At 38.0% G+C, this 23,548-nt stretch overlaps 1 protein-coding gene across 17 annotated transcripts in view; it reads left to right on the top strand.

The window, feature by feature from the left end:
* SYT16 (synaptotagmin 16) overlaps positions 1-23,548 on the top strand; it is a 300,664-nt gene that overhangs the window by 184,652 nt on the left and 92,464 nt on the right. The gene's annotated exons all lie outside the window — the stretch shown is intronic.

Genomic DNA, 23,548 nt, shown 5'->3' on the forward strand with positions numbered 1-23,548 from the left:
GCCCCTTGTGCACATGTCATGCTTTTAAAAATATCTTGCAAAATGTTCTTTTTTTCTTCTAGGTTAGGAATTTCTAGATGTTACTATATTATTCAGTGTGAAATCCTGTGCAAAAAGCCGTACTTATCGCAGAATTTTTAGTTGATAACACTCCAAGAACACTTCTCACAGTGTTTCACTGAGACGTGATGTGAGATGACAGTGGATAGGAAATCTCTGAAATAAGAATAGCTTGATTTTCTTTTAGCTCTGAATGGTAAGGACACATTTAATAAAAACTGCCTATAAAGATTTATGCTGTGAGAACTGAGCACATATTGGGCCTTCAATAAATGTATATTGAATATGATAAAAATGTAATTAACTCTCTAAAAGTAGCTGAGGTGTGTTCCAGCATGAATTTCTCATGCCTCTAATACTCTAACCTTGAAGTAAGGACATTCCACCTGGTTAAGGGACAGAGGTAAATGATATACACAGAAGGGATTTGGGTATGTGTGCATGGTGTGTAGTTGTAATGCACATATAAGTCACACAGATTGGTGAGTCATTTATGTGATCTAAAGACAAAGTTATTCAATGTCCCTCTTGCTGGAGAGAGCAGACTTTTCTGGAATACCTCATAGTCCCTTCATTCATTTTCCATGATTCCTATTAGCTTTGTCTTTTTAGGGAAAAGTTTTATCCAGATATATGAAGTCTTGGCATATAAAGAAACACAATTTCATATTCTTCTCATAATGCTCTCTTGATACTTTTATTCAAATTAAGGTAACATTGAAATGCTAGAATAAATTGGTGAAAATGAGGTAGGCTGATATTCTTTCTGAACCTGATAAGCTGTAGCTAATTGCAATTTTGAGTCTTTTAAATTGGCTATAGAAATATTCTAGAAATATCTGGGCCAGCAGTAGAATTTCTTAGATTTGAGTTGAAATTTCGATTCCTATTTTAGAACATTCTTGAAAAGGTTGAACTATATTTGAAATTGATATGAATTTGGCATACCACTAATTTTGCTAATTTTTGTAATTGTAAAATCTAATGGCAGTAAAACAATTGTGTTCATCTGGCCTTTCCAGAGATGCTTATTCACTAGATTGGAGCCTCCAGGAAGTCAGGGACCATGCCATAGATTCATCTCTGTTTTCTTAACAATGAGCACAGTGTTGGGTAGGAGATCAAATAATAATTAACGATGGAACAGCAACAAGGAAAGCTAACAATGTTAAGAGGTAGATGCTGTTATTACTCTCACTTTACAGTTGAGAAAATTGATGGTGAGAGAGTTTGAGAACCTACCCAATATCCACATTTATTATAGGAAGAAGCAGAGCTCAGGCAGTCTCATACTAACATTTACACATACACATATTCTTTTTTTTCCTCTTAAAGGTATAATTTACTATAATAAAATTCATCCTTAGTGTATAGTTCTATGCTTTTTGACAAATAGACACAGTCTTGTAGCCACCACAACCAAAGTATAAAATGGTTTTGTTATGTCAGAAAATTCTCCTACATTCCTTTTTAGTCAGTCCTTTCCCTATTCCAGCCCCAGACCTGTGTGGATACATTTTTAGCCTCTCTTGTTTTATCTTTTTCAGAATGTCATATAAATGGATGTACACAGTTTGTCGTCTTTTGAGTCCAGCTTCTTTCACCTACCATAACGCGTTTGAGATTCATCCATGGTGTTGTGTGTTTCAGTAGTTTTCCCTTTTTAATTGCTGAATCATATTCCATTGAATGAATGCACCAGTTTGTTGATTGATCAGTTGAGGAATATTTCTGTTGTCTCTAGTTTTATTTATTTATTTCCAATATCAATGTCTATTATTTCTTTTTCTTGACTGATTACACTGGATAGGGCTTCTATTATCATGTTAAATAAGACTGGTGAGAGTGAATATCCTTGCCTCAATCTTAAACAGTGTTAAATCTTTCAGTCTTTCTCTATTATCCTCAGTAGTTAGGTGCAGGCTTCTGTAGATGCTCTTTATTATGGTGAAGTTCCCTTGTATTCTAGCTTCCTGAGAGTTTTATCAAAAAAAGGATGTTAAATTCTGTCAAATGCTGTTTCACATCTATTGAGATGATCATATGATTTTTGTTGTTTAGTATGTTGAAATAAATAACACTGTTTTGAAAGTTGAGCCAATTTTGCATAGCTTGGATAAAATCCACTTGGTCATGTTATGGTATTCTTTTAATGTATTACTGGATTTGATTTGTTAGTCTTTGCTAAAGATTTTTTTCCATTTTTTTTTTAGGGATATTGGTCTGTAGTTTTCTTGCAATATCTTTGGTTCTGGGTAATGTTGACTTCATAAAATGAGTTGTGAAGTGTTTTTCCTTTCCTATAAACTAGAAAAATTTGTGTACAATTATTATTTTTTAATGTTTGCTAGAATTTTTCAGTGAAGCCTTCTGAGCCCGGGATTTTCTTTGTGGGAAGGTTTTGAAACATAAACTCAATTTATTTAATAGGTATAAGGGTAACCTAGTTTGTTTTTTTCTTAAGTGATTTTTTGGCACTGAGTTTTTCAAATTTTTTCATTTCATCTATGTTGTTGAAGTTATGGACATAGTAGTTAATTACTACTTTTTAAATGTTGTTAGGATTTATAGTAATTTCTCCCTTTATTTCCTGATATTGGTACTTTTTGTCTTTTTTTGTTGTTGATCTGTCTGGCTAGAGGATTATTTGTCTATCCACCTACCTATCTGTGTTTTTTCCAAATATCTCATTTTTGGTTTAATTAATTTATCACTATTGTTTTTCTGTTCTTGAGTTCATTAATTTCTGTTATTATTATTTTCTTTGTTTTTCTTGCTTTGGGAATAATTTGTTCTTTCTTATTTTCTATTATGGATGTATAATTTTCCCTCTCAGCAATGCTTTAGCTGTATCTAATAAGTATGAATGTATTTTGTTTTTATTTTCATTCAATTAAAAATATTTTCTAATTTCCCTTGTTACTCCTCTTTACTTAATTGGTTATTTAAAAGTGTGTTGATTAAGTTCCAAATATTGGGAATATTCTATATATTTTTCTGTTGTTGATTTCTAGTTTTATTCCATTATGGCTTGAGCACATACTTTCCGTTATTTTAGTTTTTAAAAATTAATTAAGGTTTGTTTTATTACCCTGTCCTGAATTGTTGGATATTTCATGTGCACTTGAAAAGATTGTATATTCTGTTACTGGAGAGAGTATTCTATAAATTACAAGTTTCTTGAGGCTATTTTTTCTGATTTTCTAATACTTATTTTGTCTCTCGATTTTTTTTTTTTTTTTTTTTTTTTTTTTTAGCGTACTGATTTTGTTCTGTTGATCACTAAGGGAGGAGCATTGAAGTCTGTAACTCTGTGGATTTGGCTATTTCTCTTTTTTATTTCTGTCAGTTTTTGCTTTACGTAGTTTGAAGCTCTGTTAAGTACGTACATGTATTAGAAATATGTATCTTCTTGGTGAATTGACCTCTTTGTCATTATGTAATGTACCATTTTTACCTCTAGTAATATTTCTTGTCCTAAATTCTACTTTGATATTAATACAGCTGCTCCAACTTTCTTTTGATTAGTGTTGACATGATATATTCTTTTCCATTCTTTAAACCTATTTTATGTGGTAGGTTTCTAGTACATAGCATATAATTGGGTCTTACTTTTTAATCCAATATGACAAGCTTCCACTTTTAATTTGTTTTAACTGTTTGTATTTAATATAATTGTTGATATTGCTGAATTAAAATCTGTCTTCTTGCTAGATTGATTTGTTTGTTCCATCTGTTCTTTGTTTCTTTTATCCTAATTTTTCTGCTTTCTTTGTACTGAGTATTTTTATGATTTCATTATATATCCACTCTGGGCTCATGTTAAAAAAAGGCTTAATGGTCATCCTAGGATCCCTAATGCATGGATCTTTAATTAACTTCAGTCTATCTTGAAATAATACTGTACTATTTCATGTATAGTTTGATGATGTTGCAACAGTATACTCAATTCTTCCTGCTTATCCTTTGTTTTATTGATGTCATATATTTTAGTCTTATACATGCAATAAACGTATAATACGCTGATACTGCTTTGCCCTAGACTATTGGTTATCTCTTAGAATGGTTAAAATAAGACAAAAAAAGGCTGAGGTGGGAGGAATGCTTGAGCCCAGGAGTTTAAGGCTGCAGTGAACTGTGATTGTGCCACTGCACTCCAGCCTAGGTGACAGATTGAGACCCCATCTCTAAAAATAATTTTTAAAAACCCCTCCTCAAAACCAAAAATTTAAAAAGATAAAAAGATTATATTTACCTCATTTATGCCACATGAACATATACCACTTATGAATTATCTCAACTTTTCTTTGAAAAATGCGTGACATTTATGTTTAAAAATATTTTAATTATTTTTATTTATTACCTTCATTTATTCAATTTGAAGCATTCTTCATTTTAACATTTCTTATACTGTATATATGCTGCTAAAGAATTATGTCAGCTTTTGCTTGAAAAATTTTCTCAATTATTTGAAAAATATTTTAGCTAGGTATAGAATGTTGGTTGACAGTCATTTTCTTTCAGCACTTTAAGATTGCCATTTCACTATCTTATGGCTTGCTATAATACTTTCATTTATTTTTCTGCATGTAATATGTGTTTCTTTCACTTGGAGCTTTGAAGATTTTGTCTTTATCTTTGGACTTCAGTAGAGTGTGTCTAGGAGTGTTTGTGCATGGACATGCATGCATGTGTATGTTTTGGTATTTGTTTTTCTTGTGTTTTCTAAGCTTATTAGGTCTGTGGGTTTAATGCTTTCATTACTTTTGAAAAAGTTTTGGTGATCATGTCTTCAAATATTTATTCTACCCCATTCTCTCTTGTTCCTCCTTCTGGTATTCAGTTGTACAAATATTAGATTGGTATTATCCCACAGCTCTCAGATATTTTTCTTTGTTTCATCACTTTTTTTTCTTCTTCGTAGTTCAGCTTGGGTAGTACCTACTAACATATCTTCAAGTTTACTAATATTTTCTTTGACAGCATCAAGTCTACGAAAGCCTTTTTTATTTTTGTTACCGTGTTTTTCGTGTCTAGCATTTTGATTTGATTGCATTTTAAAATAGTTTCAGTCCCTCTGCTCATCACTTCATGTACATTCCCCCCTTTTCATTATGGCTTTTAACATATTAATCACAGTTATTTTAAAATTCCTTGTCTGATAGTTCCAATATCTGAGTCATATTTGAGTTTGGCTGTCTTGGTTGTTTTGTCTCTAGACAGGATGTTTTTCTTTGTTTCTTTTTTGTTTGTCTTGTAATTTATGACTGAAAATAGAACATTATATGTAGGGAAAGTATGCGATATTTTTTGCCTGGAAGTGAGCAAATCTTTTCTAATGCAGGATGTTTAGTGTGAGGGGGTTGAGTCAGTTTAGTCAGCATTTGAGTTGGGTTTTTGTTTTGTTGTTATCGTTCATCTCAGTGCAATACAGGCTTCAAAATGCTCTATTACTACATTGTGTTTAGGGTAGGGGCTTGTTTGTTACACAGTTTTGTCAATATTGGCTCCATCTTTAACATCGTCTCCTCTTTTTGCCTATGCATCAGAGAGTGTCTCTCCTTTCAGGCTTTTGCCCCTTCCCAGGAAAAGCCTGTTATTATGCATTACTTATTGTTTGCTAGTGTGATGTGGTTGAGTTGGAGGTTGTGTTTCCTGCTGTTGTAGAGTGCTCTCGGTCTTAGGCAATTGCTGTGTTCCTATGTCTTGAGGTTAGGACGTTCTCAGTAATCCTGCCTCTCTCCCCGGAGACAGGGGAATCTGCAGTGGTCTGACCCCAGGAGTTTTTCCTGCCCCTTCCCCAGGGATAGAAGTGTTTACTCTGTTCTGCTTACTCACCTTAACGTGTCTTTACCTGTGGTCTGAAAGCAACAGGATTTGCTGTTGTATTAGTGCATTCTCATGATGCTATCAAGAGCTGCCTGAGACTGGGTAATTTAAAAAGAAAAGAGGTTTAATTGACTCATAGTTCCACAGGGCTGGAGAGGCCTCAGGAAACTTAAAGTCATGGTGGAAGGGGAAGCAAATGTATCCTTCACATGACAGCAGCAAGAAGAATGAGAGCTGAGTAAAGGGGGAAGTCCCTTGTAAAACCATCAGAGCTCATGAGAACTTACACATTATTATGAGAATAGCATGGGGGAAACCACCCCCATGATTCAGTTACCTCCCTTTGGGTCCCTCCCACCACATGTGGGGATTATGGGAACTGCAATTCAAGATGAGATTTGGGTGGGGACACAGCCAAAACTTATCAGCTACCCTTCCCCAAGTGGCCTAAGGCTTTTGTTTCATAGTGGAAATTCAAGAGCAGAATCTTGGTGGGGCTTCTTATTTTGCCTGTAGTAGCCATTGTTCCCCTTCCTCATGACTGTATCACGACAGCAGCTTTCTCTGCCCCTGCTCTCCACCCGTCTTTCTTGTGAGTGCCTGGTGAGCTCTGTGAAGAACTTCTAAGTGGGCTTGAATTTCCATTTGGTTTGTGACTCCCATGGGTTCTGTACTTCTGTGCTAGTCCACTGGGCCTTTACAAATAACTGGAAAATATTCATTTAATTCTTACCAGCTTGTATGAATCTAGTATCTGCCCCTTGCCAGCAAGTGCTTGTGTTCTTTCTCTCCTTGAGATAAGTTGCCTCTTTTTAACTTTTGGACTAGTTGGTTGCTGAGTTTAAGAAAATATGTGATTTGACCACTTATATAAATTTTGTTGTTGTTTAAAGAGTGGGAGCATTATTTCCAACTGTCTACATCTTAAGTGGAAGCTGGAACATAGAGTTTATATGCTTAACACTACACTGTGAAATTGAATTGGACATTCTTATTAAACTGGGTAGCATGTTTGGGCTGAGGGATAATTGTGTAAAGAACATATTGGTCTTCCATTAAAGAGTTCTGTGATGTGTAAGATATATGTAACCAATCCTATAAAAAAAGTTTGTGAGAAGTTATAGTTATGTACGTGATAACTTTTGTGATGATTTTGCCAGAGGTGATCAGATAAAGTTCTTGTCAGGATGAGTCAGAATTTAATAAGTGAATGAAAGGAGAAAGGCATTCCACCTGGAGGAAATGTCGTGAATGCTGACATGTGAACAAGCCTGACATTTTCAGGGATGGATCATGAGGCTAGAGCTAAGGCTGTGATTGGGAAGGTCTTTGGTTTTTGTGTTAAGAATTTAGCCTTCATCCTGTGTATTAGTCCATTTTCACACTGCTATAAAGACATACCGGAGACTGGGTAATTTATAAAGAAAAAAGCTTTAATTGATTCATAGTTCTGCATGGCTGGGGAGGCCTGAAGAAACTTACAATTATGGCAGAAGGTGAAGGAGAAGCAAGGCACATCTTACATGGCAACAGGAGAGACAGAGAGACAGAGAGAGAGAGCGCACAAGCGAGAGTGAGCAAAAGGGAAGCGTCACTTTTAAACCCTCAGATCTCATGAGTACTCCCTCATTATCATGAGAACAGCATGGGGGAAACTGCCTGCATGATCCAATCACCTCCCACCTTGTCCCTCCCTCCACACATGGGGATTACAATTCAAGATGAGGTTTGAGTGGGGACACAGAGGGAAACCGTATAATCCTGTAAACAGTTGGGAATCTTAGAAAGATCTTAATCAAGGGTAGCACCCACAGAACTCTGATATAGAAGGATAACTTTAGCATCAGTTTGGAGGCTAAATTGGAGGGGAGAATATTGGAGAACTATTATAGTAGCTTGTAAGAAGGAACCTAAGAGAATATGAACATATAAAGAGAAATAATTGTCATTATTTTGTCATTGTTCCACCAAAAAGACGTGCCATGAAGAGTCTGTGACATGGTTCTGGCATGCAATGGGATACCACCTCATTACTGTGGAGGCAGAAGACGAGGTTCCCCTCTTGGCATCTTTGACCCTTGAAGAGGTGCTCTTCATTAATGCTGAGTTAAGATGGGAGTTCCATCTCCTCATGTGGTTTCCACTGACCCTGCGGTGTGGGTGGCCTCATTACCACTGGGTTGTGGTGAAAGTCTTGGGTCTCTACTAGACCTCCCTTGACATCACCTAAATGGGGAGGGGGAGGTGTGCCTCATGACTTCCAGGCAGGGGTGGTAGATGAGGCTTCCCAGATGGTCTCCAGTGAACACTGTGTGGGTGGGGGATACTCACCTCTGGCATCAGGGATAGAAGTTCCAGTTCCTAGCTTGGCCTTGTCTGGCATGCCTTGTGAGAGTATTGGGTTGCCTCATTACAGATTGGTGAGGATGGAAGTCTAGGTTCCCTATGTGGCCTTGTCATGGGTGAAGATGAGGACACAATTTTTTTCTGTGCTGTTTGGCTGGAGTAGAGCAGGTCCTATCTAAACATTTTCTGGCTTACTAGGCTGCCCTTTTCCTAGTCCTTTGGGAAGAAAGAGCAAGCCTTTATTGAGACTTTTGTTTTGGTCGGTGTACATTGACATTTTTGTGTTGCCAGCTTCTTCAGCTTCAGGTCTGGGATATATGAGGTAAAAGAGCCCAGGGAACTCACGACTGTGTTGTTCCTTGAGTCCCAAGGTTCCTATCCATTCTGCCTTCTTCTCTGTACTTCTCAGTCTTCTGATCTCTGTTTTATAGACAATGTCTAGGGTTTAGGGTGGTACTTAGAGGGAAGAAGAGGGAAAAGTATGCTCCCTTTAGCTTCCTGGAAGTTTTCACATTAGTCCTTAAACAGCATTATGACTTTGAATTCCACCCACTTCTTTCCATTTCACAGGCAAAATAAGAGCAGTAGAAAATGATAAAGAGTGGTGTGGGTGTGTAAGTAGATATGAGGAGGAACATTTCTCTATAAAGAGAGGTGTTATACTATGGCCCCTTTTAACCAATCAAATATGTATTGAACACCTACCACGTACAAAACATTGTGGGGAACAGACAAGTATACACAAGTATAAGCCACAGGCCTCTCCTTCAGACTGTGCAGAAGCCTATATCACTTGTTTATTTGTTCCAGAGGATGCAAAAATGTTTTTAATGCCCTGGCTCTGTGGTGGCAGTGGGAATTGGGAATGCACCATGGGCTTAGAATGAGGCAGCCTCAGCCCAATTCACTCACAGCTTTATAGATGGAGGAGGTTGCCTAAGTTGCCTCTAGGGAACTTCCATTTCTCTCTCTCACTGATGTGATAGAGCCCACTAATTTACTTCAAATGCCTTTTAGCCATTGAACAAAAGCTCTTATTTCTCTTTCTTCAAAATATTTAAATACCCTGAGGGCCCTATAAAACTAGGATATGTGATTGGACTCTCAGCTGTATGGGTGTTAAAACAGCTGTTTTTTGTTTTGTTTTGTTTTTGTTTTTGATTTTACTGATGGGTTAACAGTCTGGAAGACTCCTCATGCACTCATTTGTTCCTTTATACTATGGGGTGATGTAAGCCATAGTACATGGGCTGCTTTGCAGTCTGTTGAAGAGCAGTATTAGGAAATACGCTAGGGAAAAGCAGCATTTTAATCGGTGATTTATGTGCACGTCTTAAAAAGCCTTGTCAAGCTCGCTTTTCCCATTTAACCTTGAATTCTTTTCATAATGTTGTATCTTGATTTTATGTTTCTTAATGTGCCATATTTTTCTCCACAATAGATTTTAAGCTAAATTGGCCCAAAACAAGAGGGATGCTGAACGCTTTTTGTAACCATGGAAACATTTCTGGGCACTTACTAAGGACCTGGTTGCCAATAGTAATGTAACAGAGAAAATAGATACACTTCATTTAGCAGTTGCCGATGATTAAGAGGCAGAGAGACTACTTATAGTGTCATCCCAAGATAGGCTTTTTGGTTTAAAGACTCAAATCCAAAACACCACCTTCTCAGTAGAGAAGCAGCTATGACACCTTTGATATGTGATGGGAAGGAGTTCTAATTGCATTTAAAAATCATTGTTTTCAGTTTTTTACCTCATGCTTTTTTTGAAGCTGTTTTTTAACCACATATATTTGTTTCCAAGAAATATGCTCACTATTTCCTGAAATAGCCTGCTAATGGAATTAATGTGTTCCAAGCACATTGGCATATAGAACTTTAGAAACAATCTCGGAACGTACTTAAAATATAGAACAACAGGCTTTGAAATCATGGTGATATTTGACTTTTCAACCAGATTACTCTGCTATGCTAATGTAACATGGAAGGGAAAATCCTACAGTGTTCTTAGTTGTTGATTGATTTCAACCCTTTGCAGATTGAAGGTATTTTCTTCTGTCAGTATTATTGGGATTGCTTGTGGCAATTGAGACTAAATGGTATCAGATAATATAGCTGATCCACAAATCACAGAGGCCTTATCTTTTCTACAGGATATACTACTGCATGTCAAATGTTGCATTCCACCTTTCCTTCCTTTGCAATACTGGAACTTTGCTTTTCCATTGCATAAGTGCTTTCTTGAAAGTAAGCCTACACCTAGTTAAATTTATCTTCATTTGTTAGTCCTTCATTTGATAGTATTTGCCATCATGTTCCTTGGTTATGCAGAAGTGTCCAGGGAAAAAGGTTTAATATTCTGTGGCTGATTCAGAATCTGTTTTCTAAAAGCTTTATACAGTTAATTTTCTTGATATTTTGATTTGCATGTTTTAGCAAGGGTAGATATTAATGAACATGTTAGCAGCTGACATACAGTTTTCAAAGCCTTAACGTTTAAGTTGAGAAGATGATTATTCCCATTGTTACGTATTTTGCAGTTTTGTGTCATTTTTGGAGGAAATTTCAGGCATATAACAAAATCCTATGTGGACAGAAGTTAGAATATGTAAGATACAAATGATCAGACAATTCAATCCTTACTTTGACTTCTGGATGTTGTTATGATAGAATACTGGAACATTTTGAAGGACAGATTCAAAATAAGAAAATTAAGTCCTTTTTTTTTCTATTCTTAACATAATTAGGAATGGATTAGAGGAATTAGAGGCAAGTTATCCTCCAGATAAGCTTAAATCCCATTTTAACAATTCTCAAGGAATAAAAAAAATTTTCTTTATTAGTGGAATCACTTGATAATTTTTTTTTAAAAAAGCTCAGAAGTTTTCCTTGCCCTATAAAAAGTAAGAGGAGGGATATCTTTTTTTCAATTACCCAGCCAAAAGGGGAAGAAGCCAGAGCTAGACAGGAACTACAAAATCAATAAGGTCTTTTTTCATGTATCTTATTTCTTCTTCCTGAGGAATATTCTTACCTGTGTGTTTGTGTGTTGTTTATTTATTTATTTATAAAAATATGGAGATATTATCCTCTTCTTCCCTCTTCCATTCTTTTTTCTTCGGTAAATCTCCTTTCTTTCTTCGCTGGTACCCTCTTCCCATATCTGCCCCTGAGGAGAGCGAGTCTTGTTTCTGAAAAGGAGCCTTACAGTGGGAGGAGTTTCTAAAATGTGATTATAAGTTCCTCTTCCCTTTGAACTCATGTTAATTATGCTAAGGGCTGGTCTAGGTCATTGCTAATGGAGTTCTTAGTGCTCTTTACATTTCCTAGTTTGTAAGTTTATGAAACATTTTTAAAACAGAAAAATATAGAGTAATATAACAAAGAGTCACAGATTGCCACTTTGCCAGATCTTAACATTTTGTCATATTTAATTCAGATTTATTTTAAAGAAGCCATCCAGGACAGAGGGAATTGAAATCCCCTAAGAAGCCCTTTTTGTTTTCTTTCTTTTCTCTACTCACTGGGGTAAAACAAATCTAAATTTGGAAATTATGATTCCCATTGTGTTTCTGTTTTCTTTTTTTTTTTTTTTTGCTGCAAGCATATGTAACTGTAAACTACATATAACATAATTTTGCATGTTTTAAAACTTTATACAAGTGATATAATGCTAAACATAGTATTTTGCAACTTTTTTCCTTCCTTCTCAATGTTATGTTTTTGAGTTATGCAGATACATGTAGATTTGTTTTATTTTTACTGCTACATGGTAGTCAACTGTATTAATTAATATACCATTTTCCATCCTTCAATTGATGAACATTTAGTTTGTTTCTAAACTTTCACTATTAAAAATAATTCTGCAATATTAATATCTCTTTGAGCACATATACTGGAGTTTATTTAGATGGTATGTATGAAGAGACAGTCCTATTCTACACCTCCTTCTTAAAGTAGGTAGTTTCTTTCCTGGTCGAGGTCCCTTGAATAAATTTCCTTCCCTTCCCTTGCTTTATCTTTAGATGGTTCATATTGGCTTCTTCTCTCTGTCACCAAAAGAGTCATAGTCAATAGTGAACTTAAGGCATTAAAAGAATCTAAGTATTAGAAGTTGTCTGTTTGTTTAGTAGCAAGTTTAAATAATGAACAAATGAGAACATGGGCAGTGATTCCAAATCTTAGGAGGTTTACAGGCTCCTTTGAAACTTTAATGAAAGTTACAAACTCACTTGTCCAGAAAGATACATCATGACATATCAAAAAAATTTATAATGACACTTCATGGGTTCATGGACCTCCTGAATTTTATCTGTCTTACTCTAGATTAAAGTCAACCAAGTTTACAAGAGGAAACTAGTAATAATACAGTCAGGAGTTAATCATTGTACATTCATTTTTGGCTTTTCTAAGAATATAAAATTGGAGAAATGTGTTGGAATCTGTGCTGGTTCTCAAACTACTATCTCTCAGCTCAAATCCATTCTTCTAGATTCTGCTTTGGATGTTGGGTTTAGAATTCTGCAAACTACGGTTCTCCTATGTTGGCGGGATCCTCCTAGGTTCTCCTATGCCCAAAAGAGCAGTAAAAAGACATTGAAAGATGGGAGGAGGTGAGAAGGGACTTACTGATTCCTGTTTTACTCACTGTTCCTATTAGGGGTACTCCAGCACAGCCCCTCACTCTGCTATCAGCAGTTTGGGTTCTCGTCTGTAACTTCTTTCAGTGTTCCAGAACCAGCCTCATTGCAACCCACTCAGAGGAATAGCACCTGTCAGACAGTTTCTCTTCCTCAGATGCCTGAGCCCAATTCTGTGGTGCTTCCGATTTCTGATATTTCTGATAATTTGACTGCTTCCCTTTGGTTCCTCAGTCCTAGGGGTGCTAGCTGCTTCATGCAGTTGTAATCTCTGGCCTATTTCCCTATTCTTCTTCCTATTCATTTGACATCCAGTACCTGTGAAACCAATACCCTGTATTAAATAAATTGCCTCTGTTGAAATAATTTCTGCTTCCCTGAAATTTGACCAATAGTGTAGTGAAAGTATTGTCAAAGCATTTGTATAGATTATAAAATAGTCTATGTTAAGTGCACAAAACTTAGATTCTGCAGGTAAACTGCCACTTTCTGGAAATTATAGGTAACTGATGAAGCAGACATCTATGTCTTACCCATATGTGATATTCACCAGCCAAACAAATAAATATAACATGTCAGGTGATGAAAAGTGCCATGTAGAAAAATAAAGCAGGATAAGGGGATACAAATTAATTAGATGAATGCTACCTTAATAGGGTGGTCCTATATTTTATAGGATGATCTCTCTGAGAAGGCAGCATGTAAACAGAGACCTGAATGAAGTGAAGATGAGAGCTGTGCAAATATTTGAGGGAAGAACATTCTGGGTATAGGGAAAAATAACTGGTCATGCCCTGGGGTGGGGTGAGGAGTGTTTTGGTATTCGATTGATTCACTTTGCCCGTGCTTATTAGCATCTGGTCATCGGTAATACCATCCAGTGGTTACTCTGGAATTTCTGCTATCCTAGAAATTTCCTAATATTTAATACATTTTTACTGAAGGATGTCAGGTATAGGATCATCACAGGAGACATTGCTGTTCATGGAAGGACTTTGAGAACTTTTATATTATTTCAAAAATTGTTTGTCTTTTTTTTTGCGGGGAGGTGGGGGTGAGGATAAACAAAGTTGAAACATCAAGCAGTATCTTCTTAAGCTGTAATATCAGAGCCTATTTCAAAACCAAAATAAGAACTTTAGGTTTTTCTGGGACTACTTGGTTTTTATTCTGTTTCGATCTCACAAAAAGTAGCCACTGCAAACCCTATGTGCAGAAAGTTAGAAAACTGTTCTTCAACATTTAGATGCATGATGACCAGCAGTTACTTCTTTTGGTGTCTGCTAAATCAGTTTGTACATGAACCACAATTTCTTACCCTTAATATTTCCCTTTGCGAAGTTGGATTTATTCTTAGCCATAAAGTGACATAGAGGCAATATTGCTTATGTCCCAGAAACCATGCTATTTACACAATTGAACTAAACTCAAATTAGGAATTTCTCGGTTTCTTATAAGCAAAGATAAAGGTGTGAGCTCAAGTAATGGATGAATCTGGGAGTAAATCTGGTTTCATGGGGAGTTCTATCCAGAAGTGCAAATGTTATCTTTGGGACCCAGTTTCTCCCCTTCAACTCCAGTTTCTAATCTCTACTTCCATCTGAGCTGGCTCCATTCTCAAGCTCCATGTGTGGTCAGATGGTTACCAGAACCTCCAGGTTTATATCCTCCTAGGTTACAATCCAGTGGAGAAAAATAAAAAAAAACACCACCACTTTCTGGCAATAAGAAGAAAATCCTGGGATTAGCACTAATTGGCTTGATTCACGTGGCTTGACTTAAATTATGTGACAAACTTTAGCAATCTCTGAAGCCAGGGAAATGTGATGTTCTGATTGGCCAGGCCTAAGTCACCTGCTACTTCTGGTGTTTGGGGTAGAGAGCTTTTCCAGAAACTACCTGAGAGTGGAGGAAAGGTGATTTACTGAAGAAAATGAAGATTCCAGAAGTGGAAAGAATAGATGATGGGTGTCAAAAAACCCCACAGCTCTATTAGAGGAGTCAATGCCATTCATAGACCTCTCCACTGCTTTGACATTGAATGCTGTTTACAAGCCTGTTTCAAGGAAAAGCCTAGATTTGTTGTGTCACCACATATGCCGTATATCACCACAGGACCCCAAACACCTATTTCTCAGTGCTTATGGACACATGTCTACCACAAGTCAGGGAACACTATATATACACACACACACACACACACACACACACACATATATATACACACACACACACATATATATATATATATTTGATGCTGTGCATCATCTGTCACTGCTGATTTAGATCATGGCTTTTCTCCTGCATGTTAAAAAAAAAACAACCTCTCATGCACCTTTTTAGAATAGTGTAACCATATAGGATCTGTATTAGTTATCTATTCATGCATAACATATTACTACACATTTAGTGGCTTAAAACAACACACATTTATTATTTCACAGTTTCTATGGATTAGGAGTCCAGGCATGTGTTAGCTGAATCCTTTGCTTAGGGTCTCACATGGCTATAATCAAAGTATCAGCTGGGCTGCATCCTCATCTGGAAGTTTGACTGGGGAAAAGTCTACTTCTAAGCTCTCTCAGGTTGTTGGCAGAATTGATTTCTTTGTAGTTATAGGACTGAGGGCCCCAGCTTCTTGCTGGCTGTTGGTTGGAGGCCACCCTCAACTGCTGGAGGCTGTCTGTGGTCCCAGAGGCTACCTTGCCACGTAGGCTTCCCCAACATGTCTGCTTACTTCATCAAGCTAGAGTCTGATAGCAAAAGGAATCTCATGTAATGTAATTGTGGTGTGACATCTTATCACCTGTGCTATATTCTACTGGTTGGAAGCACAAGTGCCATCAGTGCTGAAGGGGGAGGGGCACCAAAGGCATGGACACTAGAAAATGGGGCTCAGGGGGGACTACTTTAGCATCTTCTTACCACAGGATTCTATATTGTCCATTTAAGTAAATAGAGAAATTGCACAAAAGGTGGGAGCTACTTACATGCCTTCATGTGAGTTATTTACTCTTATAGATTTTTTTTTAGGTGAGGAAATTATATTTTTGTCTTAAAAGGCAACTTTTACTTTACCTTGGCTATTCTGCAAATGGTGCATCCAGGAATTGTTCTTAAGATGATTTTGGTTACAAGCTAAATCTATATATTTGAATTGATTTTGAAATTATAAAGAGAGTAAAAGGAATACAGACTGCAGGGAAACTCACATTAGCATGAGCTTTCACACGGAAAGTGCCTAAGACAAGAGACTTGCCAAGAATCCTTATTGGTTTTGTAGATCACTTCAGGTGAAGAACTTCTTAATTGTGAATGTTAGCAATAATAAGTAGAGAGTGACATCCTTAACTATATAGTAGTTATCTATATAGTAGTTAACTACGTTGTAACCTTAACTTATGGTAGACTTTTTACATATATTATTTAATCATCATTGAAATGTTATGAGGTATATCCAGAGTGGTGGTAGATTATTATTCCTATTTTTAAATAAAAGGTGATCATTTTAGGGAGGTTAAGTAGCTTGTTCAGTGTCACTATATGGTAAAGAAGCTGGGTTTTCAAGCCACATGTATCTGACTCAAAACATCAAGGCATTCTCCTCATGGTGATGGTTGTCCCAAAGGGGGTTGAAGTGCCCCCACTTCCAGCCCATGCCTTTGCTACAAGAAATTCAGCTCAACAGCGTTTACTGGCAATGAAAAAATTCCTGGGCATTATGGTTTCTGAGAGTGGACTTACACATTCCTAGGTCGAGTTTAAGGAGTTTATGGGAAAATAGGCTGTATTTGCAGTCTCCATTTCCTCCTGCCTGCTTCTTCATTCACTGTGATTTGGCTTCTCTTCTGTCACTCCCATGGGCATGTTTTTTTGTTTGTTTGTTTGGATTGCCGTGACCTCCTGAATGGTTTAGTAGCAAAATCAGTCTTCCTCCCCACCTCCTTCAACTTTACCTGACTTATTTTGACAGTTAAAATTGTTGACTATTCGGCCAAGTGCGGTGGCTCATGCCCGTAATCCCAGAACGTTGGGAGACCGAGGCAGGCAGATCATGAGGTCAGGTGTTCAAGACCAGCCTGGCCAATATGGTGAAACCATGTCTCTACAAAAAGCAAAAAAATTAGGTGGGCATAGTGGTGGGCACCTGTAGTCCCAGCTACTTGAGAGGCTGAGGCAAAAGAATTGCTTGAACCTGGGAGGCGGAGGTTGCCGTGAGCCGAGATTGTGCCACTGCACTCCAGCCTGCGCAACAGAGCGAGATTCCATCTCAAAAAAAAAAAAAAATTGTTGACTATTCCCCCCATGAAATGCATTCCTTACCTGGGTTCTGGACTCCACTTGTTCCTGGTTTTCTCCCTGCCACTCCTAGTCATTCCTTTTCATTCACCTTCCTTTGCCCGTTCCTTAAATATTTGGTTCCCTCTTATGCATCCTTCCATGACTTCCATGACAAATCTTCATCTCTAGTCTGGACCTCTTTCGAACCGTGGGTTCACAGATCCAACTGCCTTCACGTGGATGACAGATATCACATACATGTTTAAAAACATAACTAATCATCTTCCTTTCTTAGTTATGGACATCCTGTTATCAAAGTAAGATATAAGTCCTTCTCAATCTCTTATCCTTCACAGCTCCCCCACCTTGCCTATATTTTGTTCAGTATATACCAAATCCTATTGATTCCGTCTCTGCTGCTTATCTTGTATCTGTCCAACTCCTCCTTATCCCTACTACCTTAATTCAGATATGCATCCTCTTCTGCTTGGTCTATTCCAATAATGTCCAGAGTGTAATGGTGCAGTCTCAGCTCACTGCAACCTCCACCTCCTGGGTTCAAGCAATTCTTCTGCCTCAGCCTCCTAAGTAGCTGGGATTACAGGTGCCCACCACCATGCCCAACTAATTTTTGTATTTTCAGTAGAGACGGGGTTTCACCATGTTGGCCAGGCTGGACTCAAACTCCTGACCTCAGGTGATCCACCCGCCTTGGCTTCCCGAAGGGCTGGGATTACAGGCACGAGCCATTGCGCCCGGCTGGTTTCTCTATTTTTATGTTATTTCCATCTTTTATTCATTCTTGAGTTTCCCCCTCCGAATGTTCATTTTAAAGTCTGCATCAGATTTCATATTTTCTCATACAAAAAGCCTTCCAGTACAACTTCCTTTGAAAGATACATAGCCTTCAATGATTTATGTCTACTGTCTTCTAGCATCCTGAAATACTAAGTACACTTTATACCTAAAACCTTTGGTTTCATCTCCCCCAACCTTGTGCCTTCCTCGTGAAAACTGTTCATCTTTCAAGAGTCATCTCAAGCAGCATTTTCTCTAGGAAGCCTTCCTTGTCTTCTTTCTCCAGCTTCTGTTGCATTCTGCACATTCCCTCTCCCTGCCTTTTTCTGGCAGTTAGCTGCTTCCTCTTCTATGTTCCGATAGCATGTTACATTTCTCAATAATATAGATTTTATATTGTATCTAAATTTTTTTATGGATGTACCCACTCAAATCTGTAGACTCTTTGAGGGGTTTATGCTTTCCCAATAATTTTTACATTGCCAGCATTTAGCATGGCATCAGTTTCATTAACAAAAAAAAAAATGAATGGCTAAATGAAGGAACATAAACCTAATCTTAGCTGTCACCACTGTATTTCATCATCTCCAGAAAGATGACCAGTGTAAATATCCTATAAATACTTTTAGATTACAGATTATTAGAAGAATGCAGCCGAAGTTCTTAACATTTTTGACAGTCTGTGTTTGCCTTATGAAGACATTTGCCTTGACCTTCTCCTCCCAACATTAATGAGGACTTAAAAAACAAGTGCTATGATCTGAAGGTTTTTGTGTCTCCTCCACAGATTCACATGTTAAAACATAGTCCCCAGTATGATGGTATTAGGAGGTGGGACCTTTGGGAGATGATCAGATCATGAAGGCAGAGCCCTCATGAATGGGATGAGTGCCCTTATAAAAGAGGCCCCAGAAGCCGCCTTGCCTCCTCTACCATGTGAGGACACAGTGAGAAGACTCTGTCTCAGAAGTTGGCCTTCATGGGACACTGAATCTGCTGACACCTTGATCTTGAATTTCTCAGCCTCCAAAACTGTGAGAAATAAATTTCTGTTGTCCATGAGCCACTCAGTTTATGGTATGTTGTTATAGCAGCCTGAACGAACTAAAATAAGTGAAAATAAATCGTGACTATTATTGTGTCAGCCTTCACTCTTAGTCCTTAATTGTTTCTTTGAGATATAAGGCAAGACATATGAGTCCTTCCCCCAGGATAGTCCTGGGAGCTCTGGTTGCACAGGTGTGGCTAACATGGTATCACCGTTACCGTGAACAGCTGTGAATGGGTCTGTTTCAGAAAACTTGTCAATAGTGAAACCATTTACAGTGTCTCTTGATGTGTTCTGGCAACACCTCCTGAGCATGCTCCAGGAACAAAAGATCAAGGGAGCAGTAACTCTTCTCTGGCACTCCAGCTATGGAAATGAAGTCATGATGTTTCAGTTTCCATGGCACAGCTCCAAGTCATTTTCACAAGAGGTGTCCTCCTGTTAAAAGATTTTGTAGCAAAGATGAGAGAGATGTTATACATACCAGAGAGGCACTATCATTCAATATTAGTGCTGAAGAACATTTAATAAGATCATCATCATTTGAGTCTTTGAAATAATTCAAGTACATTTTGCTTTAAAGTTATGGCATTGGCCGGGTGTGGTGGCTCACGTCTGTAATCCCAGCACTTTGGGAGGCCAAGGCGGGCAGATCACAAGGTCAGGAGTTTGAGACCATCTTGGCTAACACGGTGTGAAACCCTGTCTCTTCTAAAAATACAAAAAAAAAAAAAAAAAAAAAAAATTAGCCGGGCGTGGTGGCGGGTGCCTGTAGTCCCAACTGCTCGGGAGGCTGAGGCAGGAGAATGGCATGAACCCGGGAGGCAGAGCTTGAAGTGAGCTGAGATCACACCACTGCACTCCAGCCTGGGTGACAGAACTAGACTCTGTCTCAAAAAAGAAAAAAAATAAAGTTATGGCATTGCTTATAATGGGATTCTTGTCAAATTATTTGATGCCTAAGTATGTTTTTATAACTGCTATGATTTTATCTATGTTAACTTTATCTCTATTTCTGATGTACATATTTGAGCTCTCCTGCTAAACTGTGGACTCTTTAGAACAGGGACCCCATATTATTACTCATCCCTGTATCCCATCACCAGTGTGTTTAGTACTGTGATTTTCCTGTGCTAGATTCATAATAAATATTTCACAACTTAAGTTAGTGGGAAGGTTAGTTAAATTTTGCTGAAATTCTGCCATAACTTTGTCAGGCAAAGTAGAAGACTTGAGGAGAACATGCCCAAAGAATCTTAGTGGCATGCTCTTTTGGGTTGCTCTGTTTTATTGAATTGCGGGGATTTAAAAAAAGAAAATTTGTGAAAACTGATATTCATCAAATACTGGTTTTATTAATAATTCTTTAGAGATCCAAAGTTTCATTGTTGGTGTAGGAAATAAATGCTTCCTCCTACTTACCTGGTCACTTTCTCTTAGTTTCCTTTGCTTGATCTCCAATGCCTCCCTGACTTCTAAATGTTACCGTGATCTGGGGCTCAGCCTTAGGATTGGTCTCTCTTCCTGATATCATCACATCCTAATCTCATTCACATGCTGACAAATCTATAAACTATGCTTGAATTATCCAAGCATATGCTTATAACTCTGCTTGGATGTCTAACAGATACCTCAAAATTAGTGTGTCCAAATCTGAATTTCTGACCTCCTCTCAAAATCCTGTGCTTTCCACAATTATGCTTATCTCTAAATAGCAACTTCATTCTTCTAGTTTCTCAGTTTAAAAATCTTGGAGTTATTCATACCTCTCCCTTTTATTCATGCATGTAATCCATCAGCAACTCTGGTTGGCTCTACCATTACAATATATCTAAACTCAGGCTGCGTCTTCCCACCATCACTGCTATCGTGGTGCTTTAAGCAACCATTATTCTCAGTGTGTGGTTTTTTTTTTTTTTTGAAATGAGGTCTTATGCTGTCACCCATGCTGGAGTGCAGTGGTGCGGTCATAGCTCACGGCAGCCTTGAGCTCCTGTGTTCAGGTGAACTTCAGCCTCCTGAGTAGCTAGGACTACAGGTGCACACCATGACACCTGGCTAATTTTTTTCATTTGTTTGTAGAGACAGTGTCTCACTATGTTGCCCAGGCTAGTCTTGAATTCCTAGCCTGAAGCAATCCTCTGGCTTCACCTTCTCACAGTGCTGGGATTATAGGCATGAGCCACCTCGCCCTGTGTTATTGAACTTACCTCCTGATTTCTCTGTATCCATCTCTCCCTCTCATGTGGTCTGTTTTCGACATAGTGCATTCCTTTTAAACTTACGTCAAAGCATGTCATTCCTTTGCTGTCAATAATTTCCAAAGCATTTAGAGTAAAAGCCAGAGCCCCTGTAGTGGCAATAAGGTCCTGTGTCATCTAGCTCTGTTGCCTCTCTGACCTTATTCTGTTCCTTTCTCTTTGCTCACTCTGATTCAGGAACTCTGGTCCCCTTGGGTCTTTCTCTTCTTCTTCTTCTTCTTTTTTTTTTTTTTTTTTTTTTTTTTTTGAGACTGTCTCGCTCTTGTTACCCAGGCTGGAGTGCAATGGCACGATCTCAGCTCACTGCAACCTCCGCCTCCCAGGATCAAGCGATTCTCCTACCTCAGCCTCCCAAGTAACTGGGATTATAGGCACCTGCCACCACGCCTGGCTAATTTTTTGTATTTTTAGTAGATGGGGTTTCACCATGTTGGCCAGGCTGGTCTCGAACTCCTGACCTCAGGTGATCCGCCCACCCTGGCCTCCCAAAGTGCTGGGATTACAGGCATGAGCCATCGTGCCTGGTCTACCTTGGGTCTTCTTCTAAAATGCTAGTTATGCTTTTGCACTAGCTGTTTCCCCTATCTGGAACACCCAAACTCCACATCTCCCCAGGGCTGGATTACTCACTTCCGTTGGGTCTTTGCTCCAATGTGGCCCCCTCAGAGGTCTCCCTGACTACATGAATGTAAACGGTACCTCCCTCCACTCTCCACCTGTCCCCATCCCCTTTCCATGCCTTATGTTTCACTCTACGGTGCTTCTTACTATTGGACCTGTTTTACTTGTTTGTTTGTTTCCATGAGGGCAGGCGTTTCCATCCACCTCTTTCACTGGTGTTGCCCCTGCATCTGCGCTTGCCTCATGGTGGTAACAAATCTTTGTTGAATAAATGAAAGAATACTTTAAAAAATTTGGTGTACTCTGTTTCCAAACAGTTCATTGTGACAGCATTCACAAACTAAGTGACTGAATTTACTGTGAGACATTTTTAGTTTTGTAATCAGTGGAATTATAAGCTATTGACATGTAAGGAAAAGTGAAGTTTTTCTTCACTTCACAATGCCTTAGAAAGAAGTAGGCCAAAGCTTGAACAGAAGGAATAACACTGTAGTAATACAAAAGATTTTATTTTTAAGCTTGAATTTTAGCAGATCATCTAGCAGAATTAGAATGCGCCTTTCTCTTAAAAGAATTGGGGAATGTGGAACTAAACACAGAAATGAAGATATTTGATATGTTTTTTTCATGAAATGAGTCAGTCCCATTTTTTAACTTATCACAGTGAGCGTGTGTGTGAAGACCCTGGTTTTTGGAGCCATCTGGGTTCAAATGCTGACGCTGCTACTTTCTTGCTGTGTACCTGTGGGAACAGGTAGAGGCTCTCTTTTCTCATCTGAAATGCGAGGATAATGGTATCTAGTTAGATGTGAGAAGCTGTACAAACCCAGGCACAGAATTAGGATGAAACAAGCACATTTTCTGTTTTCACATATTGCTGTACTTTTTTTTGTTTTATCTTTATGGTCTTTTGAAATGTGAAGTTTGGCCTAGAATCAAAGGAGATGCTTCCAGGTGTTTGCTTCTTCATGGGGTACGTTTGCAAACACAGTGAGTCCTCTTTTGCTAGCCAGCTATATTATCAGACAATAGGCAGAGTGTAATCTAAGTCATGGGAAGTCCCTGTTCCACCCTATGAGGTGTGATTGCAGTGCAGCGGGCACTGACCGCTTTTCCTGGGGCTCCTGTGAAGATGAGCTGCCCACTACATCATTTAAAAGCGCCTATCTGACACCTGATTCTAAATGGTGGCCTGACCACAATCCCATCAAACACTAGTAATGCTGCCAGAAGGCCTGGAGATAGGCGGTAGTCAGAATTAGTCAAGGGAATTGTTCTTTTTTAAATTTTTAAATAAAGAAATCCTTTCAGGTTTTTTTCTAACTTACTAGTTAGAGATAGGTTTAAATTCATGAAGGAATTTGATTTTATCTGGGTCACTTCATAAATCACATGTAGTGGTTCCTGAAGAAATTTGCCTGACAGTCTTGATGGAGTTCTCATGCTGAATTCTGATCCCTTATTTTGTGACACCTTATTTCAGTGGGATGGAAAGAAATTCAGTGAGTGATTCCAAAATGTTTAAAAGCCTCAATTATTTCATTTTCTTAAAGAATTTTTTCACCTCAATAGTAAAAGTACATTAACATGCCACCTCACTCAAGTTTACTACTGTGTGTGTATATATCTTGTATAATATAATATATAATAATATCCATCTT

This window comes from Homo sapiens, chromosome 14 (assembly GCF_000001405.40).
Source record: "Homo sapiens chromosome 14, GRCh38.p14 Primary Assembly".
In the NCBI taxonomy this organism is placed as follows: domain Eukaryota; kingdom Metazoa; phylum Chordata; class Mammalia; order Primates; family Hominidae; genus Homo; species Homo sapiens.